Source organism: Homo sapiens, chromosome 4 (genome assembly GCF_000001405.40).
Source record: "Homo sapiens chromosome 4, GRCh38.p14 Primary Assembly".
NCBI lineage: Eukaryota > Metazoa > Chordata > Mammalia > Primates > Hominidae > Homo > Homo sapiens.
The window spans coordinates 156,619,561-156,644,272 of NC_000004.12; the positions used below are offsets into that span (position 1 = coordinate 156,619,561).

Below are 24,712 nucleotides of genomic sequence, written 5' to 3' on the forward strand. Positions count from 1 at the left end.
TCAAGCGGTTCAATGGTATTGGGGAGGAGCAAATAAAATAACCAAGTTACAAGATGTGAAGTGACTTGTTCATGAGCATTCAGGAAAGAAGCAGCAACATCACAATTCCAATTAAGTTCTTTGCTCCCTGAGCTCAAGCTATTCACCACCACAGGAGACAGCCAAAGTGTGTAGATAGTAATCGAACACAGGAGTGCAGATAAAGTTGCTAGGATGCTGTGTAAAACAAAGAAAACAACTGACAATGAGTCATTAGCAATCCCATATTTTAAAATGTGGGAGAAGAGACCCTATTAAAGCAGACTAAGAGGGGGAAGAGAATAGAAAAAACAGCTGGGAAAGAATGAGTGTCAAAGATCTCAAGTGAAGGAAGAAATTCAAAAAGACATTTGCAAGGGGCATTAACAATAGCTCAGAAGTCAAAGGAGAAAATAATATCTATATCTATATCTATAACTATATCTATATCTATAACTATATCTATATCTATATCTATATCTATATCTATATCTATATCTCCAACCATCTTTAGGAGTCAGCAGTTAAGGGAGTATAGACAACCTCCACCATAAAGTGAAGTCATAAGGACAGACAGATTCAGCTGGTTGGGAAAAGAATGTGAAATGAATAAGTCTAGTCAAATATTTCACACTTTCCTACTAAGGGGTAAAGTAATTATAAAGAAAAATGTTTCGAGATGGACGGAGATCCCAGGAAGTGTTGCCTAATTGTTTTTCAAATGGGAGAAACATAACCAAGTTTATATGTCAGTTTCCTTGTGAAGAAGAGGACAAAGTGACCCTCTCAGATTTCTGGGGGACAGCAATGGAGTGAGTAAAAGTCTCCAAGGAGTGACAGGAAGTTTTACAAAGATACTCCAGGGGGCATTCAGAAGGACACTAACCAGAGCTATGCTCTCACAGTTTCTAGCGCCACTGAAATCCCAGCTAAGGCTCATGTCTGTGAGTCTGAAGATGCTTTCAGGGGTCTTGCTATATACTCCAAGATAATGATAGGAAAAAAGACATGGGGCTTCACTGAGAATATGGCATAAAGATAAGGAAGCAAAGAACTTGGAAGTGGTGGTCACAGGGTCTTCTAAGTAATGAACCAGGAATCTATGCTGGGTTTACAAGAAAGTGATCTGAGATGGTTGCTACATCACAAGGGGTTTTCAAGAGCCCAGAAGTTTCTATGCAAAATTTTGTGTGTGTAAGTGAAAGTTCTTCATCAGTAGAGCCGTTGAAGAGGATTGAGTGAAAAGCATTTGGAGGACAGGTAACAATGGGGGAATAGAAAAGAGGGAAGAAAGGTAGTTCAGATTACAGCTGACATTGGAATGAAAGTAGCTTATTAGATAAACAGATGATGGAAGTATGTAGCCTCCCCAACCCCATTCCCAGTCATTCCCCTAAGCAGGGGCAAGATGCCAGGCACTAAAATTACAGATCTAAACACTTGTTCCAAAGTCAATGCCTTAAGGAAAAAGAAATAAATGTTTCTCTAACTTCCTGAAGAGTGATATTAAAATAAACATCTATCCAGGCATGTGTCTCCTATAGACAGCAGAATAGAATTCATGATGCCACATTCCAAGACCTGGATGGGAGAAAGAACAGGTTGTTATTATTATGAATCACAAAACATACTTTTGTAATTTCTAATTATGTAAAAATATTAAAATCTGAAAGGAAAACTTATTCAAAATCATTCTTTCATTCAATTAGTATTGACTGCACCTTTTCTAAATACCAGGAACTATGCTAGACATGTGGAATATAATGATAAACAGAAATTGTAGTACCATTTCTTATGGAGCTTACAGACCAGTTGGGAATGCACAGTAACCAAACTAGGACACAGATTGGATTATATGCTGTGGTTAAGTGCCAAGAGGAGAGATATACAAGGCTACAAGAGTGCAAACAAGGGAGACCTGACCATGTCTGGAGGGTCAGTAAAGTCTTTGCGGTGGAGATAATGATGAGTACAAGTGAGTAAAAATGTGGAAGGGTGTCAAGAAAAGAATGTGTAGTCCAAGTCAAAGACCTGAGGCAGAAAGAACCCTAGTTAAATCTGGGAGCTGATAGAAAAGCCACAGGGCAGTATGCAAGGTGAAAAACAATTCAAGGTAAAGCTAGTGAGAAAAAGGGAAGCCACATCAGACAGGCTCTATAACCATGAAATTGAAAAAATATTTTGCTCCAAAATAGCTAGCAAACCATAAATGATTTTGAGCAGGAAAAAGACATAATCAGTTTCTTGTTTAACAGATCACTATTTCTATTGAATGCATTAAAAAGGAAAGAGTGGGCCCGGCATGGTGACTCACGCCTGCAATCCCAACACTTTGGGAGGCCAAGGTGGGTGGATCAAGAGGTCAAGAGATAGAGACCATCTGGCCAACATGGTCTCTACTAAAAATACAAAAATTAGCTGGGCATGGTGGCACACGCCTGTAGTCTCAGCTACTCAGGAGGCTAAGGAAGGAGAATTGCTTGAACCTGGGAGGTGGAGGTTGCAGTGAGCTGAGATCGCAACACTGTACTCCAGCCTGCAGACAAAGCAAGACTCTGTCTAAAATAAAATAAAATAAAATAAATAAATAAATAAATAAAAAGAAAGAGTGGAGGTGACTTCAAGAGCAAAGATTGTTGCTTGGACCAAGGTGACAGCAGTGCAGATGGAGAGAAGTAGAATGTGTAATAAATGTAGAAGCAAATGGATTAGAAATTCTAGGTACAAGAGCAATCGCAATGGCAGTTGAGTCCTAGAGTTCTAACTTGACCAACAGATAGATATGAATGACAAGTGTGGAGATATAAAATCCTGAAGGAGAACCAACTTTTAAGGAAAAGATCACTAGTTGAGTTTTGGGCATGTTGAGTTTGAATGGCCTAAAAATTAGATGTTTTGAAAGCAGTTGATTCTAATAGTCCATAGAGGTACACATTTGGGATTCTTTTGTTGTATAAAGGGTACTCAAAGACATTCGCATGGATAATATGGTTTGAAAAAAGAAAACGGCTAGAGCAAGTTTTGAAAATACAATATTTAAAGGACAGAGGGAGGAGGAAGAAACCTTTTCAAAAGGCTATTGAGAAAGAGCATCCAGAAAGATCAGAGGAAAGCAGATTATGTGTCAATGAAGCCAAATAAAATGATGATTTCAAGAAGGAAAGGTTACTTGAGATGTTCAAATGCTACTTACAGGTCAGGTAAAATAGGGGAAAAAACAATGTCCATCTTCGTTAGTGACGTGAAGTCTTGAGAGTTTTTAATAGAGATCCTTTTCATGAGGTGGTGGAGCAGAAGACCAACTGAAGTGTATGGTGTGATAATTAAAAAATAGAAAAAAGCAGGGATTGAAAGCAGAATTTTTTTTTTAATTTCTTTTATTTTTTGAGAATCTGAGCTGGGAAGGCCAGAGGAAAAAAAAATGAAATAGTGCTTTGTCTGTCCTGAAGAAGTCTTGTCTGATACCTGTTCTTAAGCTTATACAACTAAAAAAAATAAAATTTAATAGAGCATTTAAAATTAGATGACTTCACATTAAAATCAAACTGTCCTTGAAATGTCCACTGACCTGGCAACACATATTTATATTCTGTCTGTTGTTTGCCAAAAGGGACACTGTGCCTGGAGAATTTATATGACTTGCCCAATATTATAGCTAGTCAAGGACTGGCACCTACGACTGCTGAGTTCAAGTTCTGTTTCCTTTGCAAAATTCCACTGTGCTTCTCATTCCTGCTTCTCAGGAATATAAGTCTGCCTTCCAATGGAATTCTGGAATGATCAGAGACACCCAACTCAGACTTATGCTCATATGATCCTGACCTGGAACCAATTTATGCCCTTAGATGTGCAGGGTGAAATCAAAGCCCTCCAGTCTGGGGTTCTCCATCTCTGCTTCAGCAACTTCTAGGACTGAAAGAATGTTCCCTCTTCGTATGTTCAAAGGAGAACTGCAGGAATCCTTGGAGAAATTTCTCTCAGAATCAATTACTGTAGATGAGCACAAGCACTGTTAGTCATGACTCACGAAATGATGAAAGTAAGAAACAGTCAAGAATCCAATAAGAAATAAAATAATTGGCTAGGTTCATGATTTATACTCACTGTCCTCCAAATGTCTGGTCTCTGGAATGGAAATATCTTTCCTTAATTCTGTTATGGTTCTCTGCTCAGGGGAGCTACTGTTCCGGAGATCAATAAAACTCAACATGAAAATTATTCTCTTTGCCACTGTTGGGAAAACTCTTATTTACTCTATTGTTTTTTGGGCATATGTATCAGATTGTTTTATTCAATTAAACAATATTTTGCTTTCATATATATGTGATTCTTACTGGCTACAAGGTAATTGTATAATTAATGTAATTGGCTTGAAAATAAAATGTTGCTTTTTATGAGCATCACGACTTTTTTTTAACCATATCTTTTTCTATGTTGTGAGCTCTGAACACAAAAGGAAGAATTTTTAAATGTCCCCTTTCTTCAGGTTTAGTCTGGTGCTTCTTTATTTTCCTCCTTTTTCCCCTGTTTTCACCTAGCTCTTTGTCACAAGTCTGGAAAATACAGAAAAAAATTACCTTTCTTTCTATTTGCAGACTCTTAAAAAGCTATGTTGGCAATGGTGAATATTTATTTTAAATGCTGTCAGTTTGAAATTTGTTGTCACCTTAATAAAAACTTAAAACAAATGACATAAGTAAACAGAATTTAACCAAAAAAATAAATGAGTCAATGAACATGAATAGAAATTTCTTATTTTATCTGGCAAGCGAGTGAAGATATATATCAGTTTTATATCCTTCTTGAAAGTTATCTAAGTGTTCATCACACACAAAACAATGTTTCCTCCCAAAAGAAAAACTACATTTAAGGAATTTAGCTTAAATAGGTAAAACTAATAAACTATTGAAACTTCTAAATTAGATTTATATTTTTTATGTCTCTTTTAAGGCAGTGAAGGTAAAAATGATTTTATTTCACTTTACACAGTATTAAATTTCCTCTAAAAACTTCCACATAGTTTATACCAATATAAATAAAAAGTGTTTCTTCCAGGAACTTAAAGGAATTACATTTGAACACAATTAAGAAAATAAATGTAAACCTTAATAACCTTACTCATGTCAAATTGTGCTCCAATACACCTAAGTGTCAAATAGTAGTACACACCTCTTTGCTTATTTGTGAACTTGAACTTGATGCAGAGATTACAATGGTTCCTGTGGCGGTGTGGCTACCTCAAGAGGCCAGCTCTGAGATGGGTGTAGTATGCTAAAGATTTATGAGAAATCTTAGAATCAGCACCAGTGAAGGAAAGGGAAGGGAAGGAAGGAGAAATGGACAAAAAAAAATGATGGCTGTGATACAGTCTCAACATTGGCCTCGGCCATCCCTATGCAGAGCTCTAAGGCTGAGATGAACCTCCAGATTCTCCTAGCTGGAGAAAGAGGCCTAAGTGTTTATATCCCATGTCTACCAGTCACTGGGCATAGATCACCCTGGGAAGGGCCCATGATCTTGGGCCCTTCCAACAGAAGGAGTTATTTAAATACATCTACATCTCCTAGCCCAATTTATATACTTACATTTGAGATTTGTCTTTTATCACAGTTATATCACCAAAAATTATAGAAAGAGGAACATAACAAGTATGTTTTTTGGTAATATTAAGAAAAAAAAGTATTCAAGTCAGAAAAGTATCTTATTCTGCCCCCTAACTCCCCATCCTCCCACCCCCACTGATCCATCAAATCCCCCCTAAAAGCTGGCTCTTCCTTCAACCATGGATGAAAACATGGATAATCTTCATAACTATTCTCTCTCCCTCACAAAACTAAAATGTCCTCTGATCACTTATGGCCACTGTTACAGATCGATTTTTTTTGCTGATCAATGTATTAAGATCCAAGCATTTTTTTAAAGAACGCATAATTTAGTTTAGGGTTGAACTTCTTCTTTTCCAGGATTTTATCTCCTTCAGATTATCAGCCTGCTTGGTGGGCTTTATTTTTTCACTCGACTGGCTTCTCTCCCACTACCCAATCCCAGGCTGTTTGTGGCTTCTTGTCCCCTGTTATTGATAGAGGGAGTGAGAGGCGGATGCAATGGGGAGCAGTTTAGTTAATAAGGAGGAATGTATCTGTTCCATCAATTCCCAAATTCTGACCAGCCTTTGTGAAGCCATTCCCACAAGGCTTCAGGTGAAAAGGACATTCTTCCTTTTTTATAGGAATTTATAGCACACCAAAGATTCATATTCTTCAAAGAAAGACTTAATTCTTGATATCCTTGGCCCTTTCAACTCCAACTGTTGTACTCTAGAAATCAATGAAAGGTCAAAGTTTCCAAATCTGTTTTCTTCACCTCTTTTTCAAGTCTTGCACTGATGATGAGGCCTATCCTGCTGGAATGTGGTCATATTTGCCATGATGATTTTGTTGGTGATCTTTAGGACTCGTTTAACAATGAGGCCACAAAATTCCCGTTTCAACAAATTCTCTCTAACATTATTCAAAAGGTAGATGCAGAAGCCATGCATATTAATCACCCAGGCTCTTGTGTGACACAAATTAAATATATTTTAATGCTTGTGCAAGACACTTAGAGAGACCCTCACTGAACTCCCTTACAGGCCAAGCTTAGCTAGTAGCTTTACTAATGCAGTAAAACTTCTATTTATCCACTTAGGTCATTGAGCTAATTTACAGGACCTGATTGTCAAATCAGACTCTCAGGAATCAGAGCTTTTACCTATCAAACTTTACTAAATAATTTCAAGGATGTAGTCAAGGAAAAGGCTCAGAAAACGCAAAGACCTATCTGGATCATCAATGGCAGCTCCCAGATTCTGGTTCAGATTAATAAATTCAGAACTTTTAAAATATTAAACAATTTGAGGGAATGGCACAGCTTTCATGACATGACCTTCCCATCCCCTAGAAGCCATACCTGATAAATCCCAGGTTCTATTTTCCTAGGCAATCCCTAGCTTGGGGCATCCTAGTAAAAGCAGTTAAGAGTTAATGTGTTTCTTACTAGCAAATAACGTTAGTTTTTTACTCAGCAGTTAAGTTGACAGGGAGATTTTAAGGAGTCACCTATCTTCTTTTCTTTCCTCCAGTACTGTTTCTACCATCCACCATTCTACCATAAAGGGAGTGAAAAGATCTCAGGCCATCGACTTTAACACCTTCCTCTCAGCTGCTTAATGCTAGAATTCACTACTGGGGGGAAAGAAAGTGTTAGTTTACCTGTAGGGTATAATTTACAAACTAGTTTAATGCAACAAAAATAAAAAATCAGGGGGATTAGGTGAAAGTAAATGACTCATAACATTATTAGAAGTCTCCATTTTAAAATTAAAACTAGGTTCTCAAGTAAAATAATGAAAAAAAGTTATATATTGGCTCATATTCCTTAAAGGTCTCAGATAATCTTCCAAGGCTCATTTTTCTGCCCTCTTTCTCTGAGTTGGCTCAATTATTTGAGTCCATGTAGCAGTCCCCATAAGCTGCAGGTTTACAGCCAGACCAGAAGACTGAATCTAGCAGAAAGAAAGAACCTACTAGCTCAAACTAAAGGCCTAGAACTGTATTTAGTTGACTGCAATGGTTGACTTGGGTCATGAGCTCATTCCTGAACTAGTAACTGTGGCCAGTGGGACTGGCTATCCTGATCATTCCTAGGAGTTCCTGAAGTGTAGGGAGGGTGCAGCACATGGAAAGAACATGGTGAGGAAACATTCATTCTAGGCAGATGAGATACTGTTGCCATAGAAAGATGGAGGAGAGGTTGCAATCTGAAAACAACAAATGTCTACCACATCCTCAGACAAGAATTGGAGGAAAGGTCAAAGTAGATCAAAGTTAAACAAGTTTTAAAATTACACTATGGGTTTACTGTATACCACAGAGTTTAAAATATATTGAATTGAGGAGAGATTAAAAAACTGTTGATGAGTCAAATAAATGTAAAAAAATTATCTTTGACAGTTTGGCAGAAAGGTAAAGGTAATAGAAAGAGGCAACTAGGAAACCCACAGTTTTCTGAGACCCTGCCCTGAACTTCCTCTAACATCTGCGCTTTAAAATTTCTACTTCACACTGGGTGCAGAGTCTCACGCCTGTAATCCAGCACTTTGGAAGGTCAAGGTGGGAGGATTGCATGAGCCCAAGTTAGAGACCAGCCTGGGCAACATGGTGAGACTTTGTCTCTCCAAGAAGTAAACAAAATTATCCTGGCATGGTAGTACATGCCTGTAGTCCCAGCTGCTCAGGAGGCTGAAGTGGAAGGATGGCTTGAGCATTGGAGATCAAGGCTGCAGTGAGCTGAGATTGCGCCACTGTATTCCAGCCTGGGCAATAGAGCTGGACCCTGTTTCAAAAAAATATATAGAATTTCTACTTCTACTTTTTTTTCCATCTCTTCATGCTCCTTTATCTACTACTCATTATGTTTTGAAGGCACTATCCACAGCCTAGAAATACCAGCAGACTTTCCAAGAGGACTTTTTAAATAATTATGTAAATATATTGTATTTACATATCATGCTGTTTTCATGCTGCCTATAAAGACATACTGGAGACTGGGCAATTTACAAAAGAAAGGCTTAACAGATTTACAATTCCATATGTCTGGGGAGGCCTCACAATCATGGCAGAAGGCAAGGAGGAGCAAGTCACATCTTACATGGATGGCAGGAGACAAAGAGAGACCTTGTGCAGGGGAACGCCCATTTTTAAAACCATCAGATCTCTTGAGACTCATTTATTGTCACAAGAACAGCATGGGAAAGTCCTACCCCCATGATTCAATTATCTCAGGCTGGGTACCTCCCACAACATGTGGGAATTGTGGGAATCGAAATCAAGATGAGATTTAGTTGGGGACACAGCCAAACCATATCATATGTATTACATCATTAACCTTATCTTAAATCTATGTACCCTCTGTCTCACCTATCTCTGAATATTTTTAATGAGAATAAGAATAACAATAATATTCCTCCTTTCATTTTCTTTCTTTGTTTACTTCAATGCAATCATGGATGCATTTCTTGGAAATGTTAGTCATGTTATTTTAAGTGAATTTTCCAGCACAAGTTTAAAGATAGACATTTGAAAGATAAAAATCTGTTGCTAAAGGATAAAACTTTGCTTAAAGTAAATTCTGTGAAAATATTTAATGAAAAAGTCAGATAGTTTATTTTCTAAAATATTTGTTTTCTGCTGTGCAATCTTTAAAGAGGTTACCAAAAAAGAAACAAAACAAAACAAAAAAACACCAAAAACCCGAAACTGAAAAATGTACCAGAGAAGAAAGGGAGCTGGCATACTTCAGTATTAGCAAACTTAATTTAGAATGGTCATATGTCAGACATAGAAAGTACATGGCCCGGTAGAAGGTATCAGCTGAGAAGGCCCACTAGTTGGCATTTGCTTTGTCAAATGACTGCCAGCCAGGATCTGACCTTCAGGGTGCTAACAAAATTGGAAAGCAGCTAATAGACTCAGAAAACCAAGCTCATAAAATAGTGATCAATATGACTCATGACTACTGTCCCCAAAGGCAGTCTCTGCTCTAACCCCATGCCAAATTTAGAGCTAGACTCAGCACTTCTTTGCTTTCTCATTGAAGCTCTACTTGCACGAAATCCTGTATTATTGAAGTTGATGCTATTGGATATGTTAGAGAAGAGATGGAGAAAGAGGTTTTACTTTGCGCACCTACAATAATTTGAGCAAAGCATCTTGAAAACATGTAATTTCCATAAAATTTCTCTTCATCATGACTGCTCAAGGAGGCTCCTCTTCTCTTTGACTCCTCCCCTCTGGCCTTCTGTGGCATAAAGCCCAAAATTAAGGCTCAGATATGTGCCATCTTGACATCTATTGAAAGGCCTTCCAAGGGCCTAAATACACGTTCCCCTCCCAACTCTATGGATAAGGTCCACTAGCCAAAAAACCCTCCCTATCAAAAGGACCAGGTGCACTCCCTACTTATCCCTCAGTAGCAGGTTTCAGTTCCCTGCCAGCGAAATTATTCAAACAAGCTAGTCACATCCTCCTGGAACCAGTGGGTACTCCAACCTCTGGATACTACAATACCACAATGCCTGTCTCCCACAACTTCTGGTTGTCCAAGTGCAACCCTCATGTGACCCTGCACATCATGCTATACCCTTCTCCCTGGGCTGTGAGTATATACGACTCGTAAATTGCCACCAGTTTCATCTGCCCACTAACAGATGTTGTTTGTTGGGCTATCCCCATAACTCTAAGATGGGAATGTAAAAGGTGATTAAAGTACCATCCCATCAGTCCATCTGCCTCAAGTATTCTGACTTCCAGCATTTCTAAGCAAATTAGCAGTCTCCTTTCTCCGACTTCCAAATCTTCATTCCATCAGTGTACCATTTCAGGAGTGAGAAAAGCCTCTACGGTGGAGAATATTCTGGGAGAATAACAACAAAAGATTCCTGCAGCCACCAGAATCCACCCTGCCTTAAATTCCAATGAAGATGTTAAACAACTTTTTACGGTTACTGTACTATGTGTCTATAAAGCTAAAGTTCAATTTACAGTGTGAAATGTGACTTCCAGAAGACTAAGCCATTCATATTCTTTACCAGTACTTTTCCATCTCTATGCAGATCTAAAGTATATTCAGAGTTTTTGGTAAAAGTAGAATCAGAAAAATTGAGATTACTTGTATGAGTTCAATATTCACTAGAAAGAGATATAAAATTCCTAACAGCATTGTCTCATTTAGTCTTTACAAAAACAAACTATCATTTATGTAGAGTTGTTATCTCCATAGCACAAATGTTACCTCCACAGCACAGATCCATAGCATGCTGAGAAAGTGTTGGGTAATTTTCAGGATCACACAGTGATGAGTGTTCATTCGGCTTTCCTGCCTCTTTACTAATATGTGACAAAAACTGGGTAAAGCCCTGAGGGTACCATAACACTTGTTTATTACAAATTCTCCTCTGATTCTGTCTTCCCCAGTATATGGTAACCTTCTGAGGGTACACCTTACTGCCACACTCAGCATGCGCCACATAGTAGATGTCTGTATATAATCCATAGAATGCATGGATGACTACATGAATGAATATTCAAAAACATCCATTCATCTCTAGAACCATACAGAAAATATGGGTGAATTCAATTTATCAGATTTATATGTCAGTGTGTTCCCTCAGGGTGTATCCCTAATTCACAGTTACAACTATTTTCTCTTATACTGTTTTCCTTTTAAGTTCTAGACATGACCAACAGGATCTCAAGATCTCCCCTGTGGGACTGAACCAGATTTACCTTTTGCAGGTCTCAATTTGATAACACACCTTTGTTTGACCTCTTTCCCTTACTTCTTGCTTCTCTACTCAAAACTTTACATTTCTCGGGGAACTTTTCCTAATAGGTAAAGTGCATGGAGCCTCATCTCAGGGTCTACTTTTAAGAAACTCACCCCAAGACACCACCTCTCTTCAACAGAACACAATTTCTCTTTAAACATTCTAAAACTAACCATTCTTGATTAGCTTTAAGCATGCTATTTTGGCCAGGCTTGTCTTGATTCCAGCAACAGAAATATTTCATGTTTATGTTACCTTTTGCACGTGTCTAATTTTATCAGTTGTGTGTTGACTTTATAATTGAACTTGGTGTTTTGGCTTTTTTCTCCTTGAATCTGCTCTACTGTCTGGAGTGAACTGTCATTTTATCCATGGAAAAATGTATGAACTCTCCTTAGCCTTTTATCAACTGTTTTATTATGCCTTTTATTATTTACAACAACCTGCACTTCAGCAAGACAATGATTATTCTCCTCATTTCAAAAAAGAGACAATCTTGGGCCCAGAGGGAGGCCACCCAGGCATGTCATTTGGATGAACTGGAGCTGAGTCCAGGAACTCAGGTCTCCTGATTCCTAGAATAGTGCTCTTTCCCACATCTATCAATCACTTCTTGAGAATAAGTCTTCACATACTCATAATCACTAAGGTTGTTTTCACGTGTTCTTAAAATCTCTTAACTCTGCCACGTTTACAATCATATACCAAGCAAAACAGCAGATCTTACATGAAACATTAGAGAAGCCTGGGATATTTAATTCTATGCATATGTGGCAAATCATTACATATGCATAGTAAATCTCTTAACTGTCATTTGTAATAGGGATGAAGTCATGAGTAACTTGCCCCACAATGGTTCATCAGTCTGCAAAACAAAATCCAAAACATCTCACAGTGTGCATATGAAGGTGTCTGCAAGCGAAATTGTCTTTTTGGTCTGAAAAACAAGATTTGTATCTTCCAAAAAATGTCTTCTGTTGGACTGCTTACCTTCTTCAATAAATCAGGTTATCATAACCTCACACTTCAGCGTTCTTCTATTTCTGGATTTTTCTCAGAAATTGCCCAGGGCAGGGAAATAAGAAAAATAATCTATATGTTCTTGGCTATAAAATACTGTTATCTTGGCTCTATACTAATCTGGCATGTTTATTCCTTTTTCACATTCTTTATATAAAGATGTGTCTTCATAATCCTAATTTAAAATAATGAATTTGGTAAAGCAATTATAAGTCACCTTATATTAATAGAAAATAACCCAAGGTCATGTAGAAATATATATTGACACTCCTCAGTATTTTAGAACATTTTATCTCAATTACCCATTGGAGATTTTAATTCAGTTGTGCATATTCAAAAATGTAGTTTTTTGATAATTTCCTTTTTGCCTGCAAAGGAGCAGGGAGAATTTGTTTAGAAGTCATATTGCCTAGTCTGTCTGCACAGAAAGCTTTTCTTTACCAACAGGAAAAGTGTTGATATTGAATTAATACCACCATCGTAACAAGAAAAAAGTTAACATCTGCTCTACTGTAAAAGAGAAGACAGTAAAGCTATTCATTTTTTCTTGTTCTAATAACACTCTTTTGAATAAATTTAGTCCTCACTAAGACTTTACAATAACATTATAGTAATGTGAGGCCCATTAAAAATGCTAGAACTTAACAAATGATTTTATTTATTTATTTATCTATTCATTTTTGAGATAGGAAAGACCGTGAAAACAGGGAGACAGGTAAAGAAATCAATAGCTTGATTCTCTACATTTAGATGACCGAGGAAATGTCTCACGGCAGTTGGATGAAGAAGCCTGGAGTTTAAGGGAAAGTCTGGGCCAGTGATATACATTTGTGTCATCAGTGTATAGGTAGTCTTTTAAGGTAGAGAACTGGATAAGATCACTGAAGAGTGAGGATAGACAACAGAAACAAAAGGTAACTTTCAGTAGCATGGCCTTTATTAATCTGCATATTCCCAAGAGCTCCACAAATATGATATAGATTCAAATGATCCATTCTTTTAGAATTAGCATAAAGCGAATCAAACATGGCATCATCCTGTCATAAAAGTTCTCTTCTCCCTACATGTGACTAAAATGCAGGTTACAAAAATTCTAAGTGTTGAGGACTTCTATTCGTGGAAACTTTCTTCACAAATTAATGATTGTGATGATGTCAGACAAGCAAAGAATGGTAAATGGTGAAAAAATTATACAATGCCAAACCATATGATTACCTACAATAATCCTTCCTTTACTGATAGCTGCCCCCAAAACATCTCTGTATCTTTGTAACTCTTCCACATAACCAATAATTTCCTTTCACTTAAAATATGTTCTTTATTTCTAATCACATTGGACAAACCCACTTACAAGCTCTACCGGACTGTGTATGTGTGTTTATACATTTCCATTTAAATATGAACTCCTTAAACTTTCTGTTTACTTTGATCAAAAGCATTGTTTTTGTAGAAACAAAATGGTGACAACACACACATAGTACATAGATGTAGATGACCTGATATTCCAGGATAGATGTTTAGAAGTGGTAATATTAGTCTATCCTAGAGACAGAGATCCAAATCTAGAGATAGAGATAGAGAGAGAAAAACATAGATCTAGACAGACTTTACAAATGATATTAAAGCAATATTAGGCCTATCATATAACGTTAAAATTTGACCTATTAATATACTGTTTTATGTATTTCATATATTGTATTACATATATGATGTACTATATATTATAGTTTTATATGTGCATTTTAAGTTCAGATTGTGATATATTTTAAGTAGGAACCATACATGAAACTGTTCATTTAACGAGACTTTTTTCTGGCACTGATTTGTTACGCCAGCAAGATTTCAGCATTCTTAAATATTTAGATAATTAGATGAGGACTTCTTTTTTCTTTGTAACCTCATGCTGAGCCTCATGGGAGTACTAGGAAAAAAAAAAACTACAGAGTATGTGGATAACAAATCAGTTTCAAAACCAATAAACCCAAATTTATATACTTTATGCAGTGATCATTTATATTCCATTCATCCTTTGGATACTTGAAACGATCCCCCAACAACAGCTGTTACGATAGATGACAGTGTACCACTTGACCTCAATATGGCAGATGTGTGTGCTTACTGCAGCTGTCAAACTATAATAGAAAGAGCAGCAGAATTCTACCAAAGCTATGTCTACGAGAAACCAAAAGTATTTTTGCGTTGTACACAGATTAGAAAAAGAAATCCTAAATTCAAGGTACATAAATGAAATAAATTGGTCGTTTTACAATGTGTGGACTAAACCAATGAATAGTTCATTGTTGTGTTCCAAATAATTGATTTCCCATCATAAAAAAAGATGAATATCTCCTCCCCATTTCTGCCAACTGGCTTTACATGATACTAGGCTCTAGGTTCAAAGGAATGAGAGATCAACTGCTTCTGTAAAAGCCATCACCTCTGATCTGCATCTAAGTTATCCTAAACCTTGCACACAAACACACACCTGCAAACACTCATGCAGCAACACTGTAAATAGAAGACAATAAGACACATTTACATTTAAATGTAATTACTCTGAAAAAAAAACTGATGACAAATGATAAGACAATCACTTGGCAATAATGATTGTTGTTGCCTATTCAGGATTGCTCCCGTTGATCATTTAGATTTCTTTTGGTCCCTTTATAGGTGTTTATGTTCAAAAGAACAAAATAGAATACAGCTTGTCTGAGCTGCACTTCTTTGGTGATACTTTCCAGCATAACTAATGTTGTTTTCTATGTCCTGAAGCCCAAGCTCACCTTTCTTTTCCTAATATGGTCAAGTAACTGGCTGAAAAATCTAGGAAAGCAGTTGGTGAGGATATTTGAAGACTTTTCTGTTTCACCCATGGAAAGCCGACCACAGTCAGGAAATGCATCATACCCTAGGCAGAAGAAGGCACAACATGTGAAACACTCAAGTAAAAATACATCTTAAATTATGTTAATAAAAGAAATTACACTATAATTGCCAAAGTCTTCCCAAGCCCAAAACATGCTAATAAATATATAAAAATAAAAAAACATTTTATTGCCTCTGAAGGAAATATAAGTATTAACACTTCATGTCTATTCATTATAATTGGTAAATGTTTATTGAAAATAGAAAGTTTTTTTTAACTTATTTTAGTCTGTACAAATACAAAGACATGAAAAACTTTAGAAGTGACTCTGGTCATTCCAGACATTTTTCACTGATAAAAATCAAAAGGGACAACTTCTAAGTTTTTAAAACTTGGCGGAGAGTCTACAACTACCAATTGTTGGCAGATTTTCATTCCCTCCCCCATCTTGTGAGTCTGGTTTTTGTGTAGTAAACCCTTTGAAGTCCATGGGTGTTCTCCACACAGAAGAAATTGTGTCTGGTGAATCAGGTCTTTACTTTTTTGCTTTCTCCCAATATTTTGTAACTGTTTAGTGCTTAACTAACATATATTCCTGCTGCATCTTCTGCTTTTCTTCATCGTAGTATAAAAAATTATGTTTAAATTATACAATTCAGAGAAAATATTAACCTGCATGCTTTCCAGAAACAAAAATAACTGTTCAACTGAAACTTAAAACATACATTATGCAAATTAACAAGCACTATAGAGAACTAGAAATGAAATTGTAAAATGTGCATATAAAGTTTAATGATGCAGACAAATATTCCAATTAATTTATAAATTACTTTACTTCTCTCTCTGTGTGTGTTTCTTTCTGCCTCTTCTCTTACTCTTGCCTTTTTTTCTCTCTCTGTCTCTCTCTCACTCTCTGTCTCTCTCTCCTAGTTACAAGATTTTAAAAAGTTAAATCATTTGGCCTCAAATTTTCCACATTAATGTCTAGTCTAAAATGGAATTTCTTTTGAAGGCTTAAGCAAGATCTGTCTAGCTATTTGTGTGTTATATGAAAATAGAAGAAATATGCTTCTCCAGTTATAAAAAAAAATACGGTTAAGATTTTTCTTTTTGCTCATATAAATCAAACAGAGCCAAAGCTATAAACTTTCAACTTGGAAAGATTAGAAACCCATTGAGGAAAGAAAATGTAGCTAAACTCAGTGAAAATCTTCTAAGTGCTTTTATTCATTAATTTATAGAAATCAAAGGAAAGTGGTTTGAGCACACCTAGCAATACATGTCTATCTACCTGTACAAAAGGTCACACAATTTATGCCTTAGGGTGGTGACAGTGCATACCTGCATGTGGTCTACTCCCTCTTAATACTGAAGGTAAACATTAGGAAATTACAACTCAATAAATTACTAAATAAATATTTCATGAACAATTTAAGTATGTGCTGTATTTATGTGTAAAATTTTTTTAAAAATACACTAAGATTATACTTGAATTACAGGTCAAGTTATTTCCTAATTTATACATATTATTAATACATATATTCTATGTTCGGCTCTCACTACAGATTAATTCAGGCTTACCCCACTCTATTTCATCCTTACTCTCCCTTTCCAAACACTTAAGCAGCCTTTTCCTCCACTCCCAAACTGTGATTTCAAGAAACTCTATGTGTTGCAGTTTGTAAGCATCTTCTCTATTTTTACTCTTGGTGTAAAGAGATACTAGTTTTCTTCTTACTTTCAAATGGTAACATCACCATCTGCAACAGTGTTCTACCTGAAACGTAAGGAAAACTGTCAGCACTTTCTTTAGTCTCCAGCGACTGTTTTTAGCACTGTGACGCTAGCTTGAATTCTCCGAGGACATCCTTTTGAATCCTTTAGATTATAGGTCAGTTCTTTATATTCCTTTACATATTTGGAATGGGGTTTAATTGTTTTTCTTTTCCCTACACTACGTTTCCCTAACAGCTTGAGGAATATCATCATTTGTATGAATGACCATCTCAATGCTGTGGTTTTTCTGCTTCCAATACTTCCATGAAATTTTACTTCCATGATTTCGCCATTGCCTTTCTCCACCTCTGGGTCCACATTACACTACCCAGGCCAGGGTCTCTCCATTTTCAACTTGCCTTGGTGGTACTGCCTCAAAATTAACTCCCTGTTTTGGGATTCCTTTTCCTTTCCACAATCCATTCTCCACCCTGATTTCCAAACACATTAGCCATCTGAAAACATTTTTACTTGTAGTGTTTTAGTTTGTGACTTTGATCTTCCCACACAGTTCCATTTTATCTCTAAATATTAGTCAGTGAACTCCAAATTTTTTCTACTGACTTACTGCTGTGAAAGGTAACAGACACTTTTCTCCCACAGCCAGCTACATTTTGTTGCTAATATCATGATATTACGATTTTTCTCTTGGCTATTTTTAAACTTTATATGCAACACTTAAGTCTCTATATTAAGCAGCTTTAGAAGGTGTTTCTTAAACCTTTGTTATGGAAGAAGAGAAATGTGAAATCATTACTTCTAAAGAGTGGAACAAATTTATATGACATTTGCTTTTCATTCTGTACCTCTCTGTACTGTCTGAGTTACCTGTACTTGAATTGCTTGAAAGAAAAATAAACAAAACAGAGATCTGATTATGACATTCACATTCAATGATGGCCCATTTTCTCAAATATTAGTTTTTCATACTCCCATAATCTTGCAGTTTATATAAACCACCTCCACCCTGGTGCTCAGCACCAAATTGATTTTCCTGCTTTACAATACTATTCCCTGCTAGTCTTAGAGCTCATCCCAAGCCCTGGCTGACTTATCCAGAACTATGCCCTCAGTACTGTGGACAGGCATTATTCACCAAATAAATGAATTTCACAGCTGCAAACTCGACCTAATAGTCTACAAATCCGATAAAATCTGATAAGGCATCCCATATGCAATTCTTGATCTCTTATCATGGCAAATCTGTCAGATGAAAGATCAGGTTCTCCCACATCCTTGAGTTAAGGCACATTAAGCAAAAATTCAACCCCCTCTCTAAAGCCAAATGACAGGTGACTTACCCCACCCTTGTTCCTCCAGCCACATTCTCTTTTACTGATACCTCCCCACCAGCAGCCGCTACAGCAGCAGCCATGCTAGTAAGGCCCCAGCAGGCTTCAGTGATACAATTACACAAATTAGGACTTAATGTTCAATTTTTTGTGTCTTCCAACTCTTCTTGGCTAGACTGTAAGAAACTCCAAGTCAAAGTAAATTTTCTGCTTCATGTAGACATGATCTAAGCTTCAGTAAGAAAATCAATAAACATTTTTACAAGAAATAATACGATGGAACTCCAAAGTTTTCAACATTCTTCTAGCAACACTCTCAAGCTTCAGAAGCAAATTTATGCATTTCTTTTTCCCCTACATCAGCCATTTCAGCAGAGTTCTCATTTGGGGGAATGTATTTTATTTTATGTTTTATTCCCATGTTGAAGTAAAAAGAACATTTTCTTTCACCACGTGTATTTTTCTAAAGTGAACTTTTCATTTCATATTGTGGATGGCAGCAGCCAGCCCATGTTCCATGATCCTCAGGCACGGCTTTGTATACTGGTCCCCAAACCAGATGAGATGCACTCATCACTCAGCCACCAGGGCTATCAGTCAGAAGAAAACTTGTCGGATTGCTTAAAAAAAAACAGCCAAGGAAAGAACCTCACAGCCAAGGCAAGAACGTCACAGCCAAGGAAAGAGAGGACAAAAATTTAAAGCATTTCAAAAATGCCTTGCTGAATATTTAATGCAAAATGAAAAGAAAGGGCAGTCTCTAAAATTGGACAGAAAAAATGCAGATTAAGAAAAACCATATTTTCTTTTTTAGCATCCGAATAGATTTGTCCCCAAGTTTTTTTAATCAAATGAAAACATCAAATAATTCCAGAAAGCTTATCAAATCTACAACTTCAGAACAGTAAGGCAAACATTCTTGACAGACAAAATATTTTATTGTACAGCTATAATCTAGTCATTTTATATTCCTGAGGTACCTTCCACTTTCCACCACAAAGTCTAAAATATAATAAATGAATCTTATTTTTAATCATCACAGTAGGATTATAGAGGGGAAAAAATTTTCTAGTTCCAGTTTCCTCTGCTTTCTGTACTCCATCCACATTGCATGTCTTGTATGCATTCCAACTTGCTGCATTTTCCGGCTCAAAGCCAATGAATTTGCTGTTCCCTCTGCTGGAAGCCTGCCCCAACCAGCCCTCCACCTCACTTGTCACAAGCCTCTTTATCAAACACATCTCATATGTTCATTCATTCCCTCAGCAACCACTTACAAAGAACCTGCTATGTACCCAACACTATTCTAGACACAGGTGTTACATCAGCGAGCTCATTGGGCTCACATTCTAGGAAGGGAAGAGAGGCAACGAATAAATAAACAAATAGTATGAAGTATGTCAGATGGAATAAGTACCATGGGCAGCACTAATTCAAGGTGAGGGGAAATGGGATACTGAGATGGCAGAGATGGTTTTTTTTTTTACTGTGTAGTTGCTGTGTAGTTTTTGAAAGTGGCATTAGAGAAAGAATCTGAAGGAAATTATAGGGTGAGTCATACTCATATCTGGGGGAAAAGCATTCTAGGCTGAGAGAACAGCAATCACAAAGATTCTGAGGAAGGAGCATGCTTGATGTGTTTGAGGATTAGCAGGACGCTAGCATGGCTAGGGCCAATAAGCAAGGGAGAAAGGGTCAGGGGCTACTGATAAGTAACAGGATCAGATGGTCTATGGGGGGGCTCCCACTCTACCCTGAGCAAAATAGGAGTCATCAGAGGGTTTTGAGCTAAGAAGTGCATAGACTAACACTAGGTTTCACCAGGATCACTGGAGTGCCCGTGTTGAGAATGGATTGTAAGAGGGGAGGGGAGAAGCAGAGAGAGCAGTTACGAGTCTGTGCAGTAGACTATGTAAAAGACAATGGTCTCTTGGAGCAATGTGATGGTAGTGATGGTGATAAGACAGTGCAGGATTCTGCAGATTTCTGTCAAAAAGTAGGACTGATAGCATTGACTGAGGCATTGGCTGTGTTAACTTCAATATGACATACTCAAGGAAACCCAATTTCAGACCAGGTTAAGGCTTCCTGCTATATACACCCAAAGGACCTGACATCTATTCTCATAACACGTTGCATCCTTACAGTCTTTTTGACAGTTTTATCTTCTCCTGTAACTCCAGCTCCCAAAGCAATATTTTTCATGTTAGATGTCTAATAAACATTCTGTGAAATGATGCCTTGAATGCCAAATTAGAGGGTTTGTGCATTTCTTTATCTCAACTTGTAATGCCCTCTGTAATTTACTGACTTGATAAACCCCTATTCATCTGCCAATTATCACCTTCTCCTGAAGCCTTCCATTGCCCCTTTTCCCAAGACAAAGTGAATCCCTAACCCCCTGGTTTTTGAGCCTTGTAGTACTGCATCTATTGCCATGTATTGCAATTTACTTCTGTGGTATGGTTAAAAAAATCAACAGATGTGCTCTTAGCAAACAATTCTATCTAATGGTCAATGGTTTATGTTGCTGCAATGCAATAAACTGTCCTCAGCACTCTTAGGCCTCTACGGCATATGCTATATGCACAAGTACCAGTATATGTGACTTTAAAGAATGATAACAGTGTATTGAATATTTACGTTATACCACACTTTATGGAAGGTATTTGTCTAAATGATCACATTTGCTTTCACAAAACACTGTATGAATAAGAAAAATTTTTAGCCCATTTTACAAGGGAGTAAACTGAGGATAGACTGCTTGCCCAGCTTATACAGGTACTGTCAGAGTGAGAATTCAATCCTAAGCACAAAGACTGTCATCAAACAACCTCTATGCCCTGCTGCCTCTCTCAGAAGAAGCGGGTTGAGTTCTATGTCTAGGCCTAGTACAGATGAAAGATAATAGACACAGAAAATTATATTTAAGTTAAATCAAGTGTTCAGTGGGAATAGAAACACCCAACGCCTAAGCCAAAACTGACAATGTTGACATATAACTTCCAGGAATTTTCAAAAATATGCAAGGCAAGATATTTTTCATGGGATAATATATAAGGCCATCGAATCCATTTAATTTCATTTCCAAAAGATAGGATGGCCTCAAGAGACATGTGAGCTACATTTATTTTTAGTTTCACCTCTTCTAACAAACAGAAGCTTCCTTGAAATAAGCCCTCTGCCTTTTCCATTTTTCATCCCACTACTCAGCAAGTTCTTGTTTAATTTCATGGAATAGTCATTCAAATCTTGCTCCTCTTATGAGTAAATCGACTCAAGCCTGAAGAGATTAGATTACTCAATCCCATCATACAGGTGATTTTTAGCCAAAAGACGCCTGGTCCCTGGACTCCTGTTGCAATGCTTTCTTATCTCCCACCACATTTAGAACCATAAAACAGAGTCATCTACAAGAAAACTAGGACTCAAGAAGAAAGAAAGGAAGGGGGTTAGGAAAAAAAGATGGGAAGGAAGGAAGGGGAAGGATGGAAGGAAGGAGGCAGGAAATATTTATTGTCTTTACTTAATACAACAAACTCCAGACGCAGGTCCAGTTACAAATCCCGTTTAGTGGAAAAATTCCTTCTTATTGATATTGCAGAGTATGTGTCAGCTACTGTGTGGACATCATTCTCATCTAATAATGCTTTTTAATATAGCCATTTTCTTGTTCATAAATTATCTCATTCAAGTCTGGCATTGTATTGAGACAGTAGAGTCATTTGTATTTCATTGAATTTCCATTTCCTAGACTGTGGCAGTAATAATCTCCAACATAAATGACTTTATAACCCATTATTAAATATTTGGCAAGCACTTCATCTGCAGTTGACACATTAGAAAAGCAGAACCAAATCTCTCTATAGCCAAGAATGGAATCATCAACCAGTGAAGTAGATATATACCATAAAAATTAGTAATAATAAAGTCAAGCAATGACCAGTTTACCTGCAGTAGATTCTCAAGTATGAAAGTTATTCCAATACACAGTTTCAAGTTCTGGCAAATTATTAGAAGAGACCTATCTTACAAGGTAGGGACCCTTTTGCCAACCTCTACTCCCTCTACAAGCCCAAATTCCCCTGAGACCTCTGCCCCTCTGCTCCCCACCCAACACACAATGCCATATATATTTCGTGAAATTTCTTCACTTGCGTTTTGATTAATTTGACTTTAACTTTCATTGCCCTTGACACCAATTCTTTGCCTGAGAAAGGCTAGACATATTTAATAAATAGCTACAGGCTAAATTAAATTCAAGCATTAGTTCAATGCCCTATCACTTCTGTGAACACTTCTTGCTTCAAGTGTCTAGTCTGCTGGAGATGGATTGAAAGACACACTTCTTTTTGTCCTCAACTAACCTCTGAGATGCTTTTGGCTGCAACCCAGGGCCATTAATCTCAGTGATATATTCTTCATCCGGATGCATCATCTTTGTGTCTTCTGGTAGGACTATTTGAGGAATGTTCCTAGACATTCATTTTCCTAGACTCTGAGTTTCTCTGCAATCTGGCCTTGCTGACTGGGTAGATCAGCCCATGCCATAACTGCCATCAACTTATTTCAGGGCGGGAAACAAGATTCCAGAACACTTCTGAGCAGTGACAATGGGCATAGTCACTCGTGTTCTTTTCTGGACCAGCACCTCATGAGTTCACCTTGCTACCATCGAGGAAATCCAGAACAACTACTCAAGGACATGTCTGAATGAGTCACTGAACCATGGCTCTGTGAGGTCAGCTGCTCTCTGATCCACTCGCTCCTCAGCTTAAAGACATGGCAAGTTCCAGCCAAACTTGATCACCCATCCCAACACATAGCAGTAGCTTTTAAGCCTTAAAAGTGATCAGAATGATATGAGGCAACTTGTTAAGTGCAGATTCCTGGCACACACTACTAGAGACATCAAATTGAGTGGTTTGAAATGATGACAAGAGAGCTAACACTTTAACGAGTTGTTTTGAGACAGGTGGATTTGGACTATAATACTGTGAAAATTACTAGCCTTCCGTCTGTGCTGCATGCCATCATGTTTTCATTAGTTTCACACTATTATTCTTGTGAATCAATGGAGATCAATGGAGTCTACTAGTAGGGATTCAGTAGACCTTCCTTTTTCAAGTAGCTAGAAGGGAATGTTGAGGAGAGTCCATTTTCAGGGTACAGTTCTCTGCTGTCTGTCATATTAGCATATATACTTGTAATAACTGGTTTAATGGTATTTACTCACTAATTTTACAGTTACTGCTTAATTGTACCAATAATTAAGTTATACATATCAGGTAATTTTTTAAAGAGTATTAGTTTGCATATTAAAACCCAAGGAATTATCGCATTATAGAAAATGTCACAAATATAAATATATGATAGAAATATGTTTTAGGGAAAGAAAAATAAGTCTACAGTTGTAAGATATTGAGAAACGAGGGCATAACAGTTTGGCCTTTATCTTGGTTAATAACCTGACCTCAATGGTTCTTCTGTTTGATTAAAACTAGATAGTTTCTTAAAAGCTTATTTTCTGTTCTCATATTTTATCTAACCTCCTAGGTCAAAGATAGTGAGACAAAAAGGAATTGCTCAAATACTGAGATGCATGTCAACTCTTCCAACAACCTCCAGAATTTACTGAGCCTGTAACACAGCTTTTGTAATCCTTTTCTGTGAAATCCAGTACTGTGTCAGCTTCGTTAGGGTCTAAAGTGTACCTTTCATAAAGGACCTCAAGATTTATTTTCCTGAGCTTTAAATGAGTGAAAATGTGTTTTGTTGAAACTTCCCAAGAAGTAACTGCATTTTCTATGGAATCTTCCATTGTTTATGGGCCTGATGAAAGCATTTGGCACTTAATGATTCCCAGACTATTTCAACTTTATAAAAAATCAAGAAAAAGAAAAAAAAGGTGAAAAGTAAATGTTTTGAATGCTAACAATAAAATATGTGGATTTTTAAACCTTACAAAGAAATGAATGCAATGATTTGCTTCAGATGTTATGAAAAATTTTAATGACTGTTGACCTGTTCAAATGAGGAAAATGAAACATGAGAGAAAGTGACTGAGAACAAGATATCCAGGTGGCCCTCTGAAATTCAAGTCTGTTGCTATTAGCCCTGGTTTAATTATCTTCCACTCCCTCACAGTCAGTTTTCCCATAAATGTTAATACTCCCTATGGAATCTCAGCCCTTACTTTGGTTAGACCATTTGTCAGTACTCTAAGTTCTGTATTCTGCTCAACATCTAGCCAGTTAGAGACACCACACATAGAGCATAGTGACAAAGGGTCAATTTTGGACAACTACAACCTTTAATTTGAATTTATTATAATTACAGAAAAAACTATTATAATTTTCTCCAAATTATTTTGGG

At 37.0% G+C, this 24,712-nt stretch overlaps 1 long non-coding RNA gene across 6 annotated transcripts, besides 1 other annotated feature; it reads right to left on the minus strand.

Annotated features, from left to right (window-relative positions):
- Positions 1-3,464: 3,464 nt before the first annotated feature.
- On the minus strand, positions 3,465-22,943 carry LINC02272 (long intergenic non-protein coding RNA 2272). 6 transcript variants are annotated; one of them, XR_001741905.2, is made up of 5 exons: positions 22,705-22,943; positions 16,851-17,046; positions 15,187-15,311; positions 4,123-5,289; positions 3,465-4,008 (listed from the first exon to the last, which is right to left on the minus strand). It is a non-coding gene; the product is annotated as a long intergenic non-protein coding RNA 2272 (long non-coding RNA). The 6 variants fall into 6 exon arrangements; XR_001741906.1 differs by having other exon boundaries at positions 3,465-4,199; positions 5,188-5,289; positions 22,705-22,917; XR_001741903.1 differs by having other exon boundaries at positions 3,465-4,571; positions 5,188-5,289; positions 22,705-22,917.
- Positions 14,638-15,139: an enhancer, noted in NCBI's record as "NANOG hESC enhancer chr4:157555350-157555851 (GRCh37/hg19 assembly coordinates)". NCBI's record gives its function as "activates a minimal SCP1, AML or CMV promoter by ChIP-STARR-seq in primed H9 embryonic stem cells {active_cell/tissue: H9 hESC(primed)}" and the evidence as "EXISTENCE:reporter gene assay evidence [ECO:0000049][PMID:30033119]".
- Positions 22,944-24,712: the final 1,769 nt, after the last annotated feature.